Source organism: Homo sapiens, chromosome 4, assembly GCF_000001405.40.
Source record: "Homo sapiens chromosome 4, GRCh38.p14 Primary Assembly".
Classification (NCBI taxonomy): domain Eukaryota; kingdom Metazoa; phylum Chordata; class Mammalia; order Primates; family Hominidae; genus Homo; species Homo sapiens.
In genome coordinates this window covers 128,493,465-128,517,320 of record NC_000004.12, presented here as the reverse complement: position 1 = coordinate 128,517,320, position 23,856 = coordinate 128,493,465, and the positions used below count along the sequence as shown (strand labels likewise).

At 38.1% G+C, this 23,856-nt stretch overlaps 1 long non-coding RNA gene across 1 annotated transcript in view, besides 1 other annotated feature; it reads right to left on the bottom strand.

Annotated features, from left to right (window-relative positions):
* LINC02615 (long intergenic non-protein coding RNA 2615) overlaps positions 1 to 23,856 on the bottom strand; it is a 91,383-nt gene that overhangs the window by 2,078 nt on the left and 65,449 nt on the right. Inside the window, exons 7-8 of the long non-coding RNA NR_125882.1 lie at positions 5,676 to 5,910; positions 1,323 to 1,464 (exon numbers count right to left, since the gene is read on the bottom strand). This is a non-coding gene — a long non-coding RNA (long intergenic non-protein coding RNA 2615). The remainder of the gene's footprint in view (positions 1 to 1,322; positions 1,465 to 5,675; positions 5,911 to 23,856) is intronic.
* Positions 424 to 503: a silencer, noted in NCBI's record as "silent region_15685". NCBI's record gives its function as "represses an Ori minimal core promoter by ATAC-STARR-seq in GM12878 lymphoblastoid cells {active_cell/tissue: GM12878}" and the evidence as "EXISTENCE:reporter gene assay evidence [ECO:0000049][PMID:35858748]".

Sequence of the window (23,856 nt, the reverse complement as noted above, 5' to 3'; positions counted from 1 at the left end):
GGGCACAAAGTGCTCCATATATTGTAGCTATTAGTAAGGCTGATGAGGCAATTCATGGAAACCTCTTTCCTGGAAACAGGATAGAACCTACATGTGTTTGGCATTAGATTAGTAAAGGGTAAAAGAATATCACTGCAAGCTGGGTATTGATGGGGGTGGGGAGGACAGAGAAGGAGGAAGAATTGCCCAGGGAATGCTGGACCTTCAGTATTTTGAAGGGCCCTGCTTTGGGGCCCAGGTGGGGAAGTATCCACCTTTCCATCCTGGTTTTAGGTCTGCTGAAGATAGTTATTCTTTTTTTTTTTTTTTTTTAAAAAGACCCTTCTGATTATAAGTCTTTGTTTGAAGACATTGCTCAGATTTCCCTTTAAGGGCCTCATTTAAATGTACACACAAGGCAGCACAGTCCAGTTTTTTAAAAAAAGCCTGGCTAGTAATGACATACAGAAACTGATACTTACATGATACTGTTAAGTGCACTCTTTTTAAACCACTAATTCTTATTTCACAGAAAGTGGTCCTTATGTCAACGTCCTTAAGAGGTCCAACAGCTTGTATAACCAGCAGACCTCATGGTTAGTTAGCAGCTTTCAGGACTTGAATTCCCAGTGATAAACAAAAGAATTCCGAAGGCCACAATCCATAAACTCTCCATAAAAACATATGGAACTACTTAAAAAGGTTGGCTCAGGGCTGTTGTTTTGAAAACAAGCATCCTCAGCCAGAATCTCTACTGAGTGCTATTTACTGAATGGTTGAAGAAGGGCAAGACCCCATGGATGCTGTAGCGCTGCGTTTCAGCAATCGCCAACATTTTGCAGATATTGCTCTAAGCCTCCTGATATCCTGGGAAGGATGCAAGAAGTCCGTACCTTTGCATCCATTCCACTCAAGGCATTGGGGCTACTCATGGAGGAGCCTGCACACCTTAAATATCCTTCTACACATGTGATTCCAAGATCTTAGGCCTCCAAAACTCTCGTTTACTATTCTCGGAGCTTTCTGATTACAATTCCCCCAGCAAGATTCAACTGACTGCTCCATCCTTTGCACCTCAACAATAATCCATCAAAATTTCACTTATAGAATAGATGATTCCAAGCCAGTCTCCTATTAGTGAACTGTGTTCTTTGAAAGCAGCAACTTTTATCTGCTTCTCCATATCTCTAGGATTTGGCTTAGTAGGTGCTGGACAATTCTTTTATTCTTGTATTAATAAAATCTAATTAATTACAATTATAAGTTAATGAGTAAATTGATTAGGCCCTGACCTTTTGAATCAGTCTAGAGCCAAGACTAGAACTCAAAGTTCTGATACTTACTCTGACTTCACAAGGACTTCACTCGTACTTCACAAAGATTTCCAGTGAACCCAATCATCGCTCTTGCTGTCAGATGTCAGATTAATGTGGCCACCAACATGTAGATATAGGATAGGTTTTGGATCCATTGGCCATCATACTCCTAAACGTGAACATAGTCAACTTACCTGGTTTTTCTATGCTGTTTAAGGATCAAGAGAGAATCTTCTAGAACTTTGTCTTGGTTCCAGAACAACACAGATTGTCTCTCTTTTTCTAAAACTAATAATGAGGCTTTTTTTCTCAGTATTAAAATGTTACTCAAGACTTTCTGTTTTAATAAAATGGGAGAGTAAGATAAATCTCACTATTAAAAAGCTAGAAATACTGGATAAAATATAAAATTTGAAATGTTTTATATTCATGCTTAAGCTCTCAAGAAAGAAAAAGAAATACCCAGGCATCAGAAACCAAGAGATAATTGAAAACAGAACAAAGTTTTAAGGTGTCAGTTCATGACGTAGCTGTGCTATGGAGGTGGAAGGGTGACTATTATTATTATTTATTAATTTTTTTGAGATGGAGTCTCGCTCTGTCACCCAGGCTGGAGTGCAGTGGGGTGATCTCGGCTCATTGCAATCTCCACCTGCTGGGTTCAAGCAATTCTCTTGCCTCAGCCTCCCAAGTAGCTGGGATTACAGGCGCATGCCACCATGCTCAGCTAATTTTATTTATTTACTTTTTTTTTTTTTTTGTATTTTTAGTAGAGACAGGATTTCACCATGTTGGCCAAGCTGGTCTCAAACTCCTGACCTCATGATCCGCCTACCTCAGCCTCCCAAAGTGCTGGGATTACAGGCATGAGCCACTGCACCCGACCAGTGATTACTGATTCTGTTCACCCAAGGGCTTGTGATTTCACGCTCATGTGGAAACATGAGGTAAGCACTGGGCCCAAGTGGACAGGAAATTGGAATTGAGAACCTTGCATAGAAGCTAGGTTCTACATGAAAAGGTAGTCTACATATTCTACATGAAAAGGTAGTCTAAGTAAAAACCCACCCATTCACATAGGTATATGTCAAGGAAATTGAAAACTTAAATGAGTAGGTTAAATAGCAGATTTGATATAGCAAGATAATTTATAAACTGGAAAACAGATTTTAGACATTACTCAATAGGCACAGAGATATAAAGATCTGGAAAATATGGAAGATTAAGGGACATGGAAGACGGAAAAGGAGAACCAACAGATTTAATTCCAAGAATGCGAAATAGAGGAAAATAAGACAGGCAATACTTGAAGAGATAATGGTTGAAATGTTTTCATCAATGATTAAAACACTTGAATCCTGAAGTTCAAAAACTGTAATGAATTCCAGGAAGGATAAATAAAGCTTAAATGTAACAAATCCAAAGCAAGCCACAATATAATGCAACTGCAGAACTTCAAAGACACACATCTCAAAATATTATAAAAATACTATAAAAGCAAAATCATCAACCTAGAATTCTATACCCAGCTGTATTTAGTTTTCTAGGGCTGCCATAACAAAATACCTCAAATTAGGTGGCTTAAACAACAGAAGCTTATTTTTCACAGTTACGGAGCCCAGAAGTCAAAGATCAAAGTGTTAGTAGGTTTGGTTTCTCCCTGACTTGAAGAGCACCCTCTTCTTGCAGTGTCTTCCTGGGGCCTTTTCTCTGTGCAAATGCATCCCGGGTGTCTCTTCTTATAAGGACAGTGATATTGGGTTAGGCCCCATCTTTATGACCTTAGTTAACCTTAATTACCTCTTTAAAGGCCCTGCCTCCAAATACAGTCACATTTGCCCTTACAGCTTCAACATACAAATTCTGGAGGAACACAATTCAGTCCATTGCATCAGCTAAGTCTCATTCAAAAGTGAAAGTAAAATAAATACATTCCCCAAATAAAAGACCAAGAAAGTTTACTGCTCATTGATAGTGATGAAATCAGCCCCTCCATAATTGGCCAAACTCTATGCTATCATTTTTAAAAATTAAGATTGAACAGACAAAAATGTTTTAATGTTCTACTCCCTTAAACAACTATCACAACCTCTTCAGAGACTTTCAACGTCATATTCCCCTACTTCTTCAAAGAATCTCCTCCTCCTTTTAAGATGTACATTTGAATCTCTTTTTGTGTGTTTATTTCAATGCTTTTCAGTACTCTTATTTTGAAAATGTACATTTGACTCTCCTTTGAAGTTTGTTGGCTTATGAGTACTGGACCACCTCAATTTCTTTGTGGATCCCAAGGCAACTCCTAGAAGAGGTAGATGTGTGAGTACAGGGAGGGAGGAACCTTATATTCATACAGAAAAGAGAATTTATGGAATTAATTAAATCATAAAATTAATGTTGACCTGAGCTGTGGTAGGTAGTCCTGGACTCTACCTGTTCATCTTTTTCATTTCTTCTTGCATACAGATCTTAAGTAAATGACAAAAAGCCATATTTTAAAATTTTGAATCTGTAAGTTATCTAAAACACAGACCTTTATAGAAATAAATGCTAGGGATATGTTGCAAAAAGAAGAAAACTTTAACCAAAAGTATAGAAGTGGAATGCAAAATGCAAGGTGATCAAAGTAATTTGAAAACACATGGGTAAATTTAAACAGGCATTGGCAGTATAAAATAATAAAAACAATAACAACGATAATAGTTACAATGGTAATAACAATATCAGTCAGCATCCAGTCATGAAACAGGAACCTAAGTCTTTTTGACAGAGGGAATTTAATGACTTATGTGGGTCATGGAAGCCCAGAGAGGTCAAACAGGAAAAGAGTGGCAACCCAGACACTAAAAACAGCAGACTGCTGCTACTCTCCCTGGGCTGCAGAAGCAGGGCTCAGAAGCCAGGCCATTGGGCAAGCACCAAAACCACAAAGTGAATGACACCCAGTGGGAGCTGGAGTCAGGGAGGAAACACAGCCACCACCAGAGATGCTAGAAGAAGAAGCATCCAACCTTCCACCAATGTCTTCCACTGACAAAACTCACCTAGATAGCAGAGGACAAGGGAGCCTGGAAATGTGGTTGGCTGTAATACAGAGTAGAATAAAAGAAGGGCAGGAAATGGATCTGAAAGCAAAGGCAGCTGATTAGCACAACAATAATGACTGTTAGGGTTTCAAAAAAAGGATAGGATTAAATGGATAATAAAGGACAAGATAGAAAGGGGGTGATCTAGCAAATAAAAAATTAGTAAGAATTTTAAAAATTTGAGCCAGCCGGGCGCCGGTGGCCCACGCCTGTAATCCCAGCACTTTGGGAGGCCAAGGCGGGCGGATCACAGGGTCAGGAGATCGAGACCATGGTGAAACTCCGTCTCCCTAAAAATACAAAAAATTAGCCGGGCGTGGTGGTGGACGCCTGTAGTCCCAGCTACTCGGGAAGCTGAGGCAGAAGAATGGCGTGAACCCAGGAGGCGGAGCTTGCAATGAGCCGAGATCGCGCTACTGCACTCCAGCCTGGGCGACAGAGCAAGACTCCCTCTCAAAAAAATAAATAAAAAAAAAAATTGAGCTGCACAAATTAAGAAGCTTGATTTAATTCAGAGCTGCTCACAGTTGTGCCAGACTCCCTGGAATGCCAAGAATCAGTTACAGATGTGCTGTGAGATATTAATCCCCTTGGCCCTCAGGGCAGTCTGGCAGGGCCTGGCTGCCTGGAGCCTCCAGGCTGTTAGAAGCCTTATCCAAGGCTCCTTGGAGGGAGGATGGAGAAGAGCAAGGTCTGACAGGGAACCCCACAGTCCCTGGAGATGTTGAGTGCAATGAGCAAAATGGAGCCCTCACTGCTCTGCCAGATGCACTGTGCATGGCCAAGGTGCTCTACTACCTGGAGATGTACTTCAGCAGGCACTGCAGGGCAAACCCCTGCCCTCTTGAGTCCAAAGGGCTCATGGAGCTCCAGGGGAATGGATGCTCCAGGTGACTGAGGAGCAAGGAATACAACCCAAACTGCAGCATGGGATGGAGAGATGGGGAAAGGGGACTCCTGGTAAGTGCTAATCCAGGCATTGGTCCCAAATACCTGTCTTTACATATATATATATAAATATATATAAATTTATATAAATATATATATTTATATATATTTATATATATATATATATATAAATACTATTCTGTCATCCATTGCTGTGTAATAAACTACCTCAAAACACAGTGGCTTAAAACAACAATCATTTCATTATCTGTCATTATCTTCTGAGTCAGGACGTTGGGCAGGACTTAGCTGAGCAGTTCTTTTCCTCCATTTGAGGTACATATACTTGGTATTATTCAGTTGGTGGCTGGGCTGGGCTGGAGGAATCAAGACAGCTTTTCTCACATACCTGCTATTTTGACAGGATGGCTAGATGGCTGGACTAACCAGGGCCCCTCTACCTCTGCATATAAGGTCAAGTCTTCTCCACAAGGTCTCTCCAGCAAGGTAGTCAGATTCTTATACAGCAACTCAGGCACAAAGAGGCCAAGGCAGAAGCTTCCAAGTACTTTTAAAGAACAGGCCTGGAAACAGCACAGCATCACTCTTCCCTATTCAGTTGGCCGAAGCAGTCACAGGTCAGCCTAGATTCAAGAAAAGGGAAAGTAGACCCCGCCTCTAAATGGGAAAAATATCAAAGAATTTGCAGTTTTCTTTAATCCACCATTGATGCTTTTTTCTGTTTGTGACTAATATGAACTTGAATGGCCTGCAAGCTAGAGGTAACTGTTCTAACAGTAGATTTTCACAGTAAAACTTCACTAGAATTTAAAAATACTTGGTATGTGAAATTTTATTTGGATTTGAAATTTATTTGTCCTGTGTATAAGTCAGAGTTCAGACAGAGAAGCGGAACTTTATGGGGATAAGATGGCCAGACATCCAAATAGCTAGATAGAGAAAAAGACAGATGATTAATAGATGATAGATAGATAGATAGATAGATAGATAGATAGATAGACAGACAAGGATTTCACCTTATGCAACTGTGGGAGCTGATTAAACAATCTTTTTTTTTTTTTTTCGAGACAGAGTTTTGCTCTTGTTGCCCAGGCTAAATAGAGTGCAATGGTGCAATCTCTGCTCATTGCAACCTCTGCCTCCCAGGTTCAAGTGATTATCCTGCCTCAGCCTCCTGAGTAGTTAAGACGATTGGCACCCACTACCACGCCTGGCTAATTTTTTGTATTTTTAGTAAAGAGACAGGGTTTCGCCATGTTAGCCAGGCTGGTCTCGAACTCTTGACCACCTCGGTCAAGAGACACCCACCTCGGCCTCCCAAAGTGCTGAGATTACAGGCGTGAGCCACCGTGCTTTGCTGTGGTTGAACAGTTTCTATTACGCTATTATTTTTGCGTCTAATGCTGGATTTGAAACCCAAGAGCAGGCAAGGTGCATATAAATAGGAGAGATTAAGGTCAAGATGTAACCTACAAGGATGGCCTGGAACCAGTGTCAGTTCTTGCTGTCTCCAGCCTTGATGAAGTGAGTGTCCTGCAGGAGACACTAATGCCCTTTTTCCCAGAGCTAAACACATAAACACACACCTGGCTCAGGAACTGGAGAAGCCAAAGTTAGATTTAAGGGAAGGTGCAGCAGTTCCAGCCCAGATGCTACCCTAAGCAAATGAGGTGAGCCGACAGATAAAGCAACACGTGTGAGCCTTAAAACGCCCTTGCTCCAACCTTCCCAGCATACAAAGCAGAATGGCTTCTGCTTCACTTCTGCCCTCCAAATCTCATGCAAAAATGCCTCCTGAAGCCCATCCTGACTGAAAACACATAGGGAAAGGGCTTCTGGGAGACACAGTTCAACTAGCCAAGTGGACACGTTACAAAGCTACCATGCCCTGTCACAAGAAATTTCAAATTACATTTTTTCAGTGAAATTAAGGAAGAACTTTAGATGCTTCCTATATAATATCAACGGTTTGAATTGTTTTTAAAATGTTGTAACATGATTTTGGTAATTTATTTGGACAAATATTTTCATTGGGTTTTCAACACCATGAATTTGAGGAGATTAGAAAAGGTCATTATTAAAACATCTTAATCAGGAATGATCTATAGCTATTTCAAACATAAAATCTGATTAAAATAGTTATGTTCATGAAAGCAAACTCAAGTTTCTCAAGTAAAATTCTGAAAGTGTTTTATTTAGGCTTATAAAAATTTAACAATGTCTTATCTAATACTTTGTATTTTTCCTTGTAATTATATAAAATTTTAAAAGGTACAATAAATATTTTAGTAAGCCCTGCAAGACATTTTCAAATCAACTCCAACTTATGCTACTGTGCTGTACAAATATTAGAATTTTCTATATATGAGATGTCATTAAAAGGATTGGAACCACTTATATAAATTGACATATATGGATTTCCGTACCTAATAAAAAAAGAATGTATGTTCTGTTTAAGTGCACATTGTACGTTTGCAGAAATTGACCACATTTTAGGCCACAAAACACATCTCAACATATAGCAAAGAACTGATATCATATAAACCAAGTCATCAACCATAATGCTATTAAGTTATAAATCAATAATCTTTTAAAAAGCAAAAAGAACTCTATAAATTTGGGGATTTAAAAACATGCTTTTTTTCTGGGCAAGATCTTATTCAACTTCTAGTTTCAAGCTATTAGAAAAGGAAAAAGACTGAATACATTTATGGCAATAAGTTTTTGAAAATGCTTTTAGGTAAATCATTAATTAAACAGGAAATAAATGATAACAGACATTAAAAAATATCTAGTACTGAGTTGTAACTGAAACTATTTGTAAAAATGTGTGAGGTGCAGCTATAGTTACAGTTAAAGGAAAATTTATTGTCTTAAAATCCTGCCTTTGACATAAAGGAGTTGAAAATTAATGAGCCAAACATACAACCCAAGAAATTAGAAGGGAAAAAAAAAAAAAAAAACGTATCCACGATAGGCAAGTTGAATAGAGGGAAGAAAATGATAAAGATATGACTGAAAATCAATGAACTAAAGACAATGAAACAATAGCAAGTATCACAATCCTAAATTTGTTTCATTGAAAATTGACAAACTTTTAGCAAGATTTTTAATGAAAGAGTAAGAATAAAAGGTTCTGTGAACAGCTACTCAGGAGGCTGAGGTGAGAGAATCACCTGAACCCAGGAGGTGGAGTTTGCAGTGAGCCGAGATCGCGCCACTGCACTCCAGCATGGGCGACAGAGTGGGACTCAGACAAAAAAAAAAAAAAAGGTGCTGTGAACAAAAGAAGACATAGTTACAAATACGGTTGATATTTAACAATCATAAAATAATGCTTTGAACAACTATATTACAAATTAATTAGAAAATAAGTAAAACAGGCAATTTCTTCAAAACAAATGTAGAACCAAAACTAACTCAAAAAAGAAACAGAAAATCTGAATAAACTATTGAACAACCAAAGAAACTGAATCAGTAATTAAAATCTACCCATTAAAAAACACCAGCCCAAAAGTTTTTTAGGAGTGTTCTACCATACACTAAAGGAATAGATAATCCAAAACTCTTTCAGAGAATAGAAAGGAAAAACAAACAAACACATACCTTTCATGAGGCAGATATACCTTGATTCTAATAAACAGACAAAACTGAAAGGCCAATCACATTCCAAAGCAAAGACAAAAAACTTTAAATAAAATATTAGCAAATGGATTCCAGCATTGTATTTAATTACATTAACATATGTTAATATATTTAAAATTATTAATAACTCACAACTATAATATAATTATTTAAAAACACAATTTTATATAAAGAGAGAAAATATATACACATTTCAATACATGCAGAACAAATATTTTGTAGACTTCAATAACCTTTTCATGATTAAACTGATAGCTAACAAAAAAAGAAGGGAACTTTCTTAAACTAATAAAGGTTATCAACCAAAACTGTACAGCAAATATTATACTGCATGATGAAATTCAGAAATACTCCTGTTTAAGTTCTGAACAAAGGAAGAATACCCATTATAATCACTTCTATTTAATTTTGTTCTAAAGGATATTAAACAGCACAATAAGACAAGGCATAAAAGGAGTAAAGGATTGGGAAGAAAGAAACAGGACTGTAATTATTCATAGATGATGTGAGTTCAGCAATGCTGATGGATTAAAATATCAACATGCATATATAAATAACGTTCTTATACATCAGCCACAATTAGGAAAATGTAATTTTAAAATAGATTCCATTTACAATAACAACAACAAAAAGCAAATGCAAATAAGGACCTAGGAATAATCTAGCAATAGATATACAAGACTCTATGAAGGAAAATTATAAAAATATATTTTTTATTATTATAAAAATTATAAAAATATATTTAAGACTAAAAGAAAAGTGAAATAAATGAAGATATATATTTATTCATGAATTAGAAAGTTTAAAATCATAAAGATCTCAGTTATCATCAAGTTAATCTATAAATTTAATGTAATTTCAATCAACAAGTTTTTAACAGAACTTGACAAGTTAATTCTAATGCATATGGAAGAGTAAAGAGTCAAGAATAGACAAGAAGCATTTTTGAAAGACATGAAGTATCAAGAATAGACAGGTAGACTTGAACAAATGGAAAGACATCTTCTGTTCTTGAATAATGCAACTCAATATTATAAATATGTCAGCTCTCCCTAAATCAATTTATATATTTAGGACAGTCTCAAAGAAAATACCAACAAGCTTCTTCATGAAGTTAGACAAGCTAATATTACAGTTCATATAGAAAAACAAACACATAACAGTAGCCAGGACACACTCAAAAGAAAAATCAATTTGGGGATAAGTCATATATCAGGAATTAAAACATACTATAAATTCTCTATAATTAAAAGTGTGGTGCTAGTACAAGAATAAACAAATAGACCAGTGGAATAGAATAGAAAGCTTAGAAATAGACACAAGTTAATCTGGAAATGTAATATGTGATAAAGGTGGGATCTCAAATGACTGGTACAAAGATGGACTTTATTTTATTTATTTTATTTTATTTTATTTTTTATTTTGAGACAGAGTTTCACTCTGTCGCCCAGGCTGGAGTGCAGTGGCACCACCTCAGCTCACTGCAACCTCTGCCTCCCAGGTTCAAGCGATTCTTGTGGCTCCACCTCCTGAGTAGCTGGGATTACAGGCCTGCACCATGATGCCCACCTAATTTTTGTATTTTTAGTAGAGACGGGGTTTCACCATGCTGCCCAGGCTGGTCTTGAACTCCTGGACTCAAGCAATCCTCAAACCCTGGCCTCCCAAAATGCTGAGATTACAGGTGTGAGCCACTGTGCCTGGCCTCAAAGATGGACTTTATAATAATAAATAGTGCTCAAACAATTGGGCATCCACTGGGGAAAAAAGATAAAATTAGATCTGTAACTTACACCATAAACAAAAATGTGCTCCAAGAGGATTAGGAATCTAAATAGAAAACAAGGGACGGAACCATAAAAATCCTAGAAAAAAGCACGGGGGGATTGCTTTTCAACCTAGATATGAGAAAGGCTTTCTAACTATAATTCAAAATCCAGAAGCAATAAAATAAAAAAAAATTTTGACTACAAAAATGTTTTTTAAATTACATACCAAGAGTAAATAGAGTCAAATGACAACGGACAAACCGGGAGAAAATATATCAAAGTGTTATGAGACAAAGGACAAAAACCTCATAGCAAGACGGCAAAATACATGAACAGAAATGTTTTTAAAAGGTTAGAACGTTCAAATTCACTTATAATTACAGAAATAAAATCAAAACAATACTGTGATACCATGTTGTACTTCTTATATCAGAAAAAATAAAAAAGTGTGAGGATATATTCTGTCAGGAGGCTATAAGGAAATAGATAATTTCACACAATGCAAACTGGTAGAAGCTTTCTGGAGGGAATTTTGGCAAAACCTAACAAAACTACACATGCACTTACCTTTTGGGCCTGCAATCTCACTTCTAGAAATCTACCCTGCAGATACACCCCCAATCATACACACACACAGACGAATATGTCCAAGGTTAGTCATTGCAGCATTGTTTGTAATTGCAAAAAAATTGGAAGCAACCAAAATTATTATACAGAGGACAGTTGTTGGATAAATGAAGTTACCTTCATACAATGGAGCACTATGCAGCAGTAAAAAAGAATATGGAAAATGTCTGTGATTTCCAGGATATACTGTTATTATTTTTTTACAAAAAAGCAAAGTAAAAAAGATTATCTATAGTGCTAACCTTTGTGTATAAAAGGAGAAAGAAAATATACACATATCTGCTCATTTGTACAAATGCAAAATAAACACAGGAAAGATAAACCAGAAGTTAATGAGATTGGTTACCTAGAGGGGGTGAGTGAGAACAGGGTGGAAAGAACAATAGGACAAGGCCGAATGCGGAAGAAATGTTTCTCTGAGAATACTTTTTTTTTCATAGTTCTGATTCTTAGAACCATGGTAATGGTTCACACACACACACACACACACACACACACGATAAATAATTAAAAATAAACCAGGATGTGATAGGAACCTCAAATGGAAGACAAACAGTGACAAATGAACCTAACTATATCACAAATAACTAACATAATCAAAGTGAAGAGAGTGGTGAAGAAAGAACTAATCTAAATATCTTTGGAAAAGAGTATTTTGCATGAATACTGTAAGGCTAATGACAAAAAAAAATTGAACCCAAATTCTGTATTCTAGGCTAATGTAGGTTGATTATTCCAAAACTAGTTTGTGTATATACTAGGATCAAAACTTAAGTAAATATAATGAGCTAGTTCCTCACTATCAGCAAAAGAAGTTACAAAGAACAGAAAGGCTAGAATGAAACCAGTGGTGTTGGGTTGGAATCAGAGGTATAAATGTATAATTTTTAATATGTATACTTACGGATGGATGTATATATATCCTACTTCTGTTGACTGAGCAGGACTAGAGACAATACTGATATGGACAGGAGGCAGGGAAAATAGTGGGTAGAAGAGGGTGGGGTCCCTGTTGAAGCCCCACCCTCAAGCCTGGAACCTCAGCCCAAAGTGAGAACATGCATTCCTGTTTTCCCTCTTGAATGTTGCCTTTTCCACCCCCTATCGTGTACCCATAAAAACCCCAGGCTCCACTGGCAACAGCAAAGGAAAGAAGAGAAAAAGCAGCTTGATGTTGAGGAGAAGCAGCTTGATTTCAGAGGGACGGCTTGATGGTGGGATCTCAGAGAAGAGTTTGGCCCAGGATGGCTGTACTCCAGGGAAAACCACCTTCCCACTCCATCCCCTTTCCAGCTCTCCATTATACTGAGAGCCACTTTCATCGGCAACAAAATCCCCTGCATTTAGCATCCTCAATTCGTTCATGCAACTTGCTTCTTCCTGGACACCAAACAAGAGCTCAGGATACAGAGGGCTGTCACACTGAGCTGTTAAACACTTAAGCCATCACCAGAGGGCAAAGCTAAAAGAGCACAACTGTAACACACACCTTCTAAGGCTCCATGGGTCACAGGTACCCCCTGCAGATGCTGCTACAGGGCCACACGAAGTTCTGTTCCTGCCAGTGCCCAGAAGCACTCATGCCAGCCCCTGTACCCACTCACCTGCATGCTCCCCATCCCATGAGGGATTGAGAGCTGTGGGCTCAGTAAATGAATTACCCCCTTCACAAGTCCTGTGAAGGGGTCAGGGAAGATTTCCTGTTTCAATAACCCCTTATAGCAATAGCATATCTGCCCAGATCTTAGCTGTAAATACCATTCCTGAATAAAAGAAATCAAGGCTACAGAATTAACTCCAGGGAAATGGTGATTCCAGAGCTAGGGCAAGGGAAATAAAAGACAATCCAGGAAAACTCATGTTGCCAAGTGAGAATGTACTCAAAAAAATCTGGGGACATGTTGAAAAGACAGAGAAGCAACATGAAGGATCTCCCAAAGACCAGAGCTAGTTAAATTTGAGCAACAAAGTAAGTTATGATAGTATCAAATGATGACCCATGAGTTCATGCTAATGTAAACAAATAATTGAATAAATAAGTAAATGAGGGAGAAGGGACAACTTCTTACAATGGATTACCAATGAATAAATTTAGAAGTAGGGAAAATAAAAAATAACCATTAGGCAACAGCACAGTAATAAATGTTGCAGGCAAGAACAATCAATGGCTGCTCAAATTAGTGTGCAAAAATATGGCAAGAAGTGAAATATTTGCATAGTCTTCAAGTATCTCCCCAGAAGATATTCAGTGATTGTCAAGGGAAAAATAGTGGCTTCATAATTGAGAAACCTGGCAGACATCACCTTAATTGAGTGACACAGGCTAACATCACCAGTAATAAGGCATATCGACATCATGTGCCCACTGATATGATGAGCTAAGATGGGCACATCGCTTCAGTGGCATTCTTGCCAAAATGGCACAACCTCAATGTAATAATTAAAAGAAAGACCATTCCAAATTAAGGGATATTCTATAAATAACTGACCAGTTCTCTTTAAGTGTGTTAGCCATGAAATTTAAAAAAAAGAAAAGAAAGAAAGGAAAGACTCAAGGTGGGTCTAATATTGGACAAAACCAAGGAGACAATACAACCAAATGCAATGTGGGAGCCTGGATTGGATCCTTGACAAGAAAAACACTTTAATAGGAAATCTGGTGAAACTGGATAAAGATTCATAGATAAGGTGACAGTTTTATGTCACTGTTAATTTCCTGGTTTTCATACTCTTACTATGGTAATGTAAAATGTTAACACTGGGGGAAGCTGTTAAAGGGTATGCAGGAACTCTGATTTCTGCAACTTTCCTTTGAGTCTAAAATTATTTCTAAATAGAAAAGTTTTAAAAAATAGATTTGGAAAAAATAAAACAATGAAAAGAAATTTCTCTTTCCACGAAGCCTGCCTTTCAAGACTATTATCTCACTAGAGAGGTCAAGAAAGTGAACTCTGATTCAGAGTCTATCACTTTTTTTTTTTGTTTGTGGTAATTCTCATTTTCTCCTTCCCAGTACATAGTCTTGTGGCACAGATTTGAAAATGGACAACCACAAAGAAACATGACTTATGTGAAGTGAAGTGAAAGCTACTGGTTTAATATATGCAAAAATTCCCTATTTACAAAATAAGTGATCATTTGAATATTAATGTGTCTTTATGACACTTTTATAGGGTGAAAATGCCATCAGTTCCAAAAGTCAAAAATCAGCATGCAGTGTGATATTAGAAATGGAAAAATGTAGTGACAGAAGTGGAAACTGGAGGGTCAGAAAAGGTATAAAAAATGTAGCCAGTGGCTGCATGACAAGAAGTCAAATGGCATTTTTGGCCAGAAGGACCACTCTCCCACTTTCTTTATGCTAGCAATATTTTTTTAAATGTTAAAAGTATTTTTGTAAGTATTTTTCATGTTTCTAAAAATACATCAATTTACCTTGGCTTTTTAAAAATCACATTTGTCAATATAATGAGCAGAAGACTATTCCTACTATTCTTTATGCATAGCTTTGTAACCTGCAGACAAAAATGAAAACACCACACCTATGTTCTTTCCTATCTGTAATATCCCACAACTCATTGTCAGTTTTACCTCCCTCTGCCCAGTGTCTAAGTCTTATTTCCCTATAGCTATACAAGCTCTTTGGAGACAAACATTATATCTGGTCCATGATGTTATCATGCACCAACACCATATACATATTAAATGTTAAATAAGTAAAAGGATGATGGCTTACTGGCACTCAAACCCCTTACATGACGGGGAGCATGCAGATGGGCAGGTGCAGAAGCTGGTGTGAGCACTTTTGGGCTCCGGCCCCACAATAGAATCTAGGGGTGGGTGTCTGCGACTCCTGAAGTCCCAGTGAGCATGTGTTACAGCGCACTCTTTTAGCTTTGCTGTCCATGGACAGCTTAAGTGTTAAACAGCTCAGTGAACACTCTGCCTTTTTGCAAGGGCTTTCTGTATCCTGAGCTCTTGTCCAGCATCCAGGAAAAATCAGGTCACACACGGACTTGAAGGATGGTGAATGCGAGGGTTTTATTGATTGGTGGAGGTGGCTCTCAACAGGATGGATGGGGAGCTGGAAAGGGGATGGAGTGGGAAGATGATCTTCCCCTGGAGTTTGGCCATCTAGCGCCGATCTCATCTCCAATCATTCCCAGCTGAACTCCTCTCAACGTTCAGATGCTCCTTCTCTTCTCTCCTTCTCTGCTGCTCTTCTGCTCTTCTGTTCATCTGCTCGTGGAGCCTGGGATTTGGGGTTTATATGGGTTCAGGATGCAGAGTGTGGTGGGCCAAAAGGGAACTTTTGGGTGCAAAAATAGGAATGCCTGTTCCCATTTAGGGCCATGGGTTTCCAGGCTTGAGGGTGGGGCCTTTGCCAGGGAACCACCCTCTTCTACCCAGTATTTCGCTATCTCCTGTCCCTATCATTAGGGCCATTGGGCAGACAAGGGGTGTGTCTGCTTGGGGCAGTGGCACTGCTACATTGTTTCTCAGGTTCTGAGTATGGCCTATAGTCATTCCACTGACTCAGGGATATGTCAGCTACACGGAAGCTTGAAAGTTTCTCCTGTTTGAAGGATGGCATGTAGTGTTTTCGCCAGCTTAAGGGGGGGTTCACCCTGGATGAGACAATCAGACTGTTCCTTCAGCTGGAGGTAAGGCAGCAGGAGTTGGTTTCCCTGTAGTGCAGGAGTCATAGCTGATCTTGGGCCCAGGCTCTGCACAGATGAGGTTGTGGGGTTCAATGACCTATGGGCTTGGTGGGATGAAGATGGAGTCCCAGTGCTTGTGAGGCACAGTGGCTAGTGGCTCCCAGAGCAGGGTGCACACCAGAGGTGACTCTGGTCTCAAGATGGCACCATGCTGCAGCAGCCTGGCTCATAGGGAGTGGGCAGGGGGTGGAGAGTGCACACCTTGTACTGCTAATTTAGTATAATCCCCACAGTTCTCCCAATTGGGCTCATGGCTTGAAAGGATTGTGGAATTCTCTTGTTATAAGGACTGTAGGTATTGGCAGTGGCAATGGAAGCTGGCAAGGGTCTTCTACTCAGATTTTTGCCAGAACAGGAAGTGTCTCCTGACTTCAGACATATCTAATCTGGGTGGGGCAGACAGAGCTTCAGAGGCTGAGTGCCTGCGTGCTGCCCTCCTGGACTTCCATTTACCACAGGTGCATCTCCACCTCTTTGCTGCCTTCCAAGGTGCTCCTTCCCACACTCCAGTCAAATCTTAGCTGTGTATTCATTGCCTTGGTTTTTTCTTGTAAGGGGAATGAATACTAGGCACCTCTAACATTATGCTGTTGTTACTCCCCAAACTTTTAAATAAGAACTAACACCAATTCATCTCAAACTATTCCAAAAAATGGAGGTGGGGAGTGGAATTCTTCCAAACCTAATCTACGAGGCCAGAATTATTCTCACACCAAAACCAGAAAAGAACACAACAAAGAAAGAAAACTATAGACCAATATATTTGATGAACATAGATGCAAAAATCCACAGCAAAATACTAGCAAAAGAAATTCAATAGCACATCAAAAGAATTATACACCATGATCAAGTGGGGTTTATCTCAAGGATGCAAGGATGGTTCAAATATGCAAATCAATATACATCACACATCACATCAACAGAATGAAGAATAAAAACTAATATAATCCTCTCAGTATTCACAGAAAAAGCATGTGCTACAATTCAAAATCTTTTCATGACAAGAACTCTCAATAAATTATGTACAGAAATAATATACCTCAACACAATAGAGGCCATATATGACAAACCCACAGCTAACATCATATTGAATGGCGGTTGGGGGGAGTTCTTCTAAGAACTGGAATAAGACGCAAAGCCCACTTTCACCACTCTTACTCAACATAATACTTAAAGTCCTAGCCAGAGCACAATTAGGCAAGAGAACAAAATAAAGGGCATCCAAATTGGAAAGATGGAAGTAAAATTTTCCCTGTTTGCTGAGGACATATTCTTATATATGGAAAAACCTTCATCGAAAGACTCCATCAAAAAACTCTTAGAAAAGAAACAAATTCAGTGAAATTGCAAGTTATAAAATCAACATACCAAAATCAATAGTGTTTCTATACTGCAATTAACTAGCTGAAAAAGAAATCAAGAAGTGATATGGTTTGGCTCTGTGTCCTCTCCCAAATTTCATCTTGAATTGTAATCCCCACATGTTGAAGGAGGGACCTGGTTGGGGGGTGATTGGATCATGGGGGCGGTTTCCCCCATGCTATTTTCATGATAGTGAGGGAGTTCTCATGAGATCCAATGGTTTAAAAGTGGCAGTTTCCCCTACACACTCTCTCCTGCCACCATGTAAGATGTGCCTTGCTTCTCCTTCACCTTCTGCCATGATTGTATTCCTGAGGTCTCCCTAGCCATGTGGAACTGTGAGTCAGTTAAACTTCTTTTGTTTATAAATTACCCAGTCTCAGGTAGCTATTTATAGCCGTGTGAAAACAAACTAATACAAGAAGGCAATCCCATTTATAATAACTATAAAAAAAATGAACAAATTTAACCAAGAAGGTGAAATATCTCTGCGTTGAAAACTATAAAACTATAAAACACTTAAGAAAGAAATTGAAGAAGACACAAAAAAATGGAAAGACATCCCAAGATTACGGATTGGAAAAACTAATATTGTTAAAATGATCATACTACTTAAAGCAATCTATTTATTCAATGCAATTCCTATCAAAATACCTTTAACATTCTTCACTGAAGTAGGAAAAAAAAATCCTAAAATGTGTATGGAACTACAAAAGACCTCAACTAGTGAAAGTAATCCCGAGGAAAAAGAATGAAGGTGGAAGTATCACACTACCCGACTTCAAAATACACTACAAAGCCATAGTAACCAAACAACAGGGTACTGGCATAAAAAGACACATAGACAAATGGCACCAGAAATAAATTCATGTATTTATAGCCAACTGATTTTCAACAAAGGCACTGAAAACATCCACTGAAGAAAAAACACCCTTTTCAGTAAATGGTGCTGGGAAAATTGGATATTCATACTCAGAAGAATAAAACTAGACCCCTATCTCTCATCATATATAAAATCAACCCAAAATTTATTAAAGATGTAAAAGTAAGGATAAAAACTATGAAACTACTCAACGAAAACATAGGGGAACCACTTTAGGACACTGTTCTGGGCAAAGATTTTATGGATAAGGCCTCAAAAGCACAGGCAACAAAAGCAAAAATAGACAAATGGGATTATATCAAACTATGAAGCTTCTGCACAGCAAAGAAAACAATCAACAGAGTGAAGAGATAACCTGTAGAACAGGAGAAGATAATTCCAAACCATTTATCTGACAAGGGATTAAGATCCAGAATACACAAAGAACTCAAACAGCAAACAGCAAAAAAACCATATAACCCAATTTTAAAATGGGCAAATGATCTGAATAGACATTTCTTAAAGGAAGACATACAAATGACCAACAAGTGTGTGAAAAATGCTCAACGTTGCTAACCATCAGGGAAATTCAAATCAAAACTACAATGAGATACCATCTCACCTCAGTTAGAATGGTTATTATAAAAAGACAAAAAAATAACAAATGCTGGTGAAGATGTGGAGAAAAGGGAATTCTTATACCCTGTTGGTTGAAATGTAAATTAGTACAGCCATTATGGGAAGCAGTATGGAGATTTTTCAAAAAAAACTAAAAATAGAACTACCATATGATCCAGTAATCCCACTAGTGGGTATATATCCAAAGGAAAGGAAATCAGTATGTTGAAGAGATATCTGCACTCCCATGTTTATTGCAGCACTATTCACACTAGACAAAATATAGAATCAGCCTTAGTGTCCATCAACAGATGAATGGATAAAGAAAATGTGGTATATGTACACAATGAAATACTAATCGGCCATAAAAAAGAACAAAATCTTATCATTCACAGCAACATGGATGAGCTGGGAAGACGTTATGTTAAGTGAAACAAGCCAGGCACAGAAAGAAAAATACCACATGTTCTTACTCATTTGTGAGAGCTGAAAAAGTTGATCCTATATAAATAGACAGTAGAATAGTAGTTACTAGAGGCTGGGAAGTGTAGGGGGAAGTAGGGAAGAGGGAGAGTTTGGTTAACAGATACAGAATCACAGCTAAATGGGAGGAAAAAGTTTTAGCGTTCTATTAGCACTGTAGGATGACTATAGTTAACGTTAATTTATTATATATTTTCAAGTAGCTAGAAGAGAGGTTTTGAATGTTCCCAACACAAACAAATTGTAAATGTTGGAAGTGATGGATATGCTAATTACCCTGATTTGATTATTACACATGTATACATAAATTGGAATATCACATTGCACCCCATAAAGATGTACAATTATTAGGTGTTAATTAAATTTTTTAAAAAATCACTAGTGGCCTGATTTAATCAATCATGCTTATGTAATGAAGCCTCCATAACTGGGTTGCCAAACAGGAGGAGGTACCTGGAGAGTGGTGGTCCCAGAGAGGGCACAGAAGTTCACACCCCTTCCCACATACCTTCACCTGTGCATCTCTTCCTTCTGAATGTTCCTGACTTATATCATCTTATAATCAATGGCTAATAATAAGTAAAGCACCTTCCTCATTCTGTGAGCTGTTCTAACAAGTGATCAAACCAGAGAAGGGGGCTTTGGGACCCTCCAGTTTACAGCCAAGTCTGACACAAGTCATGGGTAACATGGGAAACTACCACTAGTGACTGACATCTGAAGCCGGGGACAGTCTTGAGGGGCTGAGCCCTTAACACGTGGAGTCTGTGCCAACTTCAGTTAGCACAGAATTGAACTGAACTGTAGGATATCCAGCTGGTGTCAGAGAATTGCTTTGTGTGGGAGAAACCCACACGTTTTGGTGACCAGAAGTGTTTTGCGCTGAGTGTGAGGAAAACAGTTAATCTTTTTCCATACAAGAGGGTAGGCAGCATGTAGAGTAGGAAGAGGACCTACCACCAGAGCCTGACACCAGTTCACAGAGGAAGAGGTTCTATAACTCAGTTAAAGTGTTTATATACAAGGAAATCTACAAGGACTGGAGAGTTAAGGACTAAAAACACATGGACCCAGGCTTTCCAATACAGTCAAATTTATATACAAAGAATCTAGTACCTCACTAAGAAAGTGAAGGCTTCAGGTTTATGGATAAAATTAAGTAAAGGAATATTTGGAAATGTAATGGAGGCCATAACAAAAATAGAAAGTTAAACTTTCAGCAGTGATGAGTACTTTCTCTTCAAGAGGCATATAAATCTCAGAAGTTAAGCCATGAATAGTATAGAAGTTTTAGCTATCCAACCCAGTGTGGTGAGGTTTTAGATGTATGGTAGTTTATTTTACAACAGCCACCAAGGTCAGCATAAATATTAATTAGGTCCCTGTTCCACTTCTGGTTCATGGTTGATACAGGGACATCCTATCACACAGCAGTTCAGGCTGAGCCAAGTGATACATGTTTTCACTTCATATCAGCTATGATAAAAGAAAAAAGTTTGTGAGTAAAATAGATATTCAGATAAACAGAAATATAATGCCTTCCCATCAAAACCTACCAGCAGGGAGGAAAACAAAACCCAGGAAGTGCCAGGAGAGGAAAGAAAGCAAGTCTAAGGCCTGTTCTCAGTTTTAAGTTCTGCAGGCCTTCCTAGAAGATGACCCATTTTTTTCACTTTTCATGTATTCACACTACTCGGAAACCCTCAATTCTCCTATTTTAAGGATTAAAAAAATTAATTACGGTATATTCCAACAATAACCTTGAGACATGACATCTTCTATTAATAGAAAAAAGACTTCTACTATGACATGACTTATGCTTAGTATAAAACTTAAACTATGACATATTTTCCTACTACCTTCTTCAAAAACATATAAAATTGTGGTATATATGACTACAGAACTGATATTAGTAATGGTAAGTTAGGAGGTTATAAACAAGGTTCTGTGTCATAAAATTTGAGTCAACAGGAACCCAATTACTGAGAAATATTTTGAAAGACGAGGGACTACGTTGAAAAGAAGAGAATAAGAACTAAAAGATAACAATAAAATATTAAGGATTTTTACAAAAACAAATATATCGTGATATATAGCCTTCTTTAATAGTGATGATAGATGTAGCTGTCACATTGCTTTTATTTCCTAGTCTTCCCTTAGCTTTGCTAAGTGGGCAGCACCAAAGCAGGACACCTGATGCAAAAGCAGCCAATCCATGAGCTTGTAGCAGTCAGTGACCTGGGATCTGACTAGAATAGATGAGCTGGGCCAGTAAGAATCCTCCTTCAGGAATCTGAATCACAAGACCTAGAGAATTTCCAGTAAGCAACAGGGCAAAAGCTAAATGGACAGATCAAGAGATACTATGCTATATGGAGGTGTAGAGTCCCTACTACGGTCTGTATTAGTCCATTCTCACATTGCTATAGAGAAATACCTGAGACTGGGTAATTTATAAAGAAAGGAGGTTTAATTGGCTCACGGTTCTGCAGGCTATACAGGAGCTTCTGGGGAGGTCTCAAGGAACTTCCAATCATGGCAGAAGGCAAAAGGGAAGCAAGGCACTTCACATGGCTGGAGCAGGAGGAAGAGAGAGACAGGGGAGGTGCCACATACTTTAAAACAACGAGATCTCACGATAACTCACTCACTGTCACAAGAACAGCACCAAGAGAATGGTGCTAAACCATTCATGAAGGACCATCCCCATGATCCAAGGAACGTCCCACCAGGCTCCTCCTCCAACATGGGGGATTACAATTGAACATGAGATTTGGGTGGGGACACAGACCCAAACCATATGATGAACCATATGCAAGCTACAGTTATGAGGAAGCCAGTCAATAGACAAAAGAGAGTGAAGGCCACATATGTAAGGAAGATTTTGCCTGTGTGGACAAAGAGAGAGCGAAAAGAAGGAAGGAGAGGAGAAGAAAGAGGAGAGGCAAGAGTAGGCTTGATTCATGACAGCTTCCTTAACACCCAACTATAATTCAATTTCTGTCATTGGGTTTCTCTGAAATCCCTCTGAAACCTAACATCTCTGTTCCTTATAACTAAAAGAACCCTAAGCAAAACAATGCATCCTAAGGTCAGTATGCTTCTAGGCAATCTTCTATACTCTCTTTATCCACAAGAAATGGTACTTAGAATAAAGACTTTTGATTAATCAAGGTATCAATTTGCTGTAAAGAAATTTAGTTCCACTGTTATTTACATAATCTTGGGCAAGTCACTTATCTCCCAAGCCTTACTTTTCTCATCTATATACATCTATATATATAGTAGGTTTATTGTGGAAATAACAATAATGTGTATGGAGCACCTGGCCCCTAGGCACTCAGAACTTGGTAGTTGTCATAATTCATTAAAATAAAACTTAAGACTTGTACAAAGCAAGTCCATTGTCTTTATATAATTTGATACACTAAACAGCCCAGGTGACATAGGTAGGACAAGTGTTGCTATCTCCATTTTTCAAATGGCTCAGTGTCATAACTTCCTCAAACCATAGAGCTGGCAAATGGAAGAATGTGGACTTAAACATAGGGCTTATGATTGCTAGTCAATCAGATAACCTCCCATTTCAGCAAAGCCCAGAAAGTACACTCACAGATTAGGGAAAAAAAATTGCAACCAATAAATTTGAAACGGGGGGGAGAGAAGAGTCCTGATTAACCTTCAGTTTAAGAGAAAAATCCATTCCATTAAAAGCCCCTTTCCCTGGGCATTCCTGATAATTGAGATTTTACAGTTCTTTGAAATACCACGAGGTCAACAAATTGCACACACTTACAGTTCCATGAAAGAATGGAAATAATGGTACTCTCTAGGGTAGAGAAAGAGAAATTCATTACATTAGAAAATCCTGAAAGAATGACATGAGAGACCAAGAGCAATACATGTAAATGCAGAAAAGAAAGAAGGAAGAGGGGGAGGAGGGTAAAAAATTATTTTTGGCATACCTAATTACTACAGAACCTCACCTCCTAATCCCCAGGGTAATTCACACTTTTATAGATAGTATGTCAAATTACCTTTTCAGATCTTAGTAAAATAATCCTGAATGTTTCAAATTCAGATTGTAAGAAAACTTTATGTTAGATCATATGGCAGTTCTAAATAAAAGTTAGTTGCTAAATCTAAATTTTTTAAGTTTCCCTTTCTTATTTGAAAATAAGAAAAGTTTCAATGATTGCACATATTTATCTTCTAATAACTTTAATAAATAAAGCATTAAAACCATGGCCATGCCCTAGTATAGAAAAACCTAGCCGGGCAAAAATACCATGTCATAAGACTTCTGTTTGGCACCCCAAACATTATGAATACATCATACAAACTAAGTGCTGCTCCCTGTTCATTTTTGTTGACAGCTTTGACGTTGAGATACAGGTCAGGAGGAAATGATGCACAGAGGACTTATCTAACCTCTTGAGGGTCTCTTATTCCTTGGTGACATGACTTTTAAGGTCTCACCTA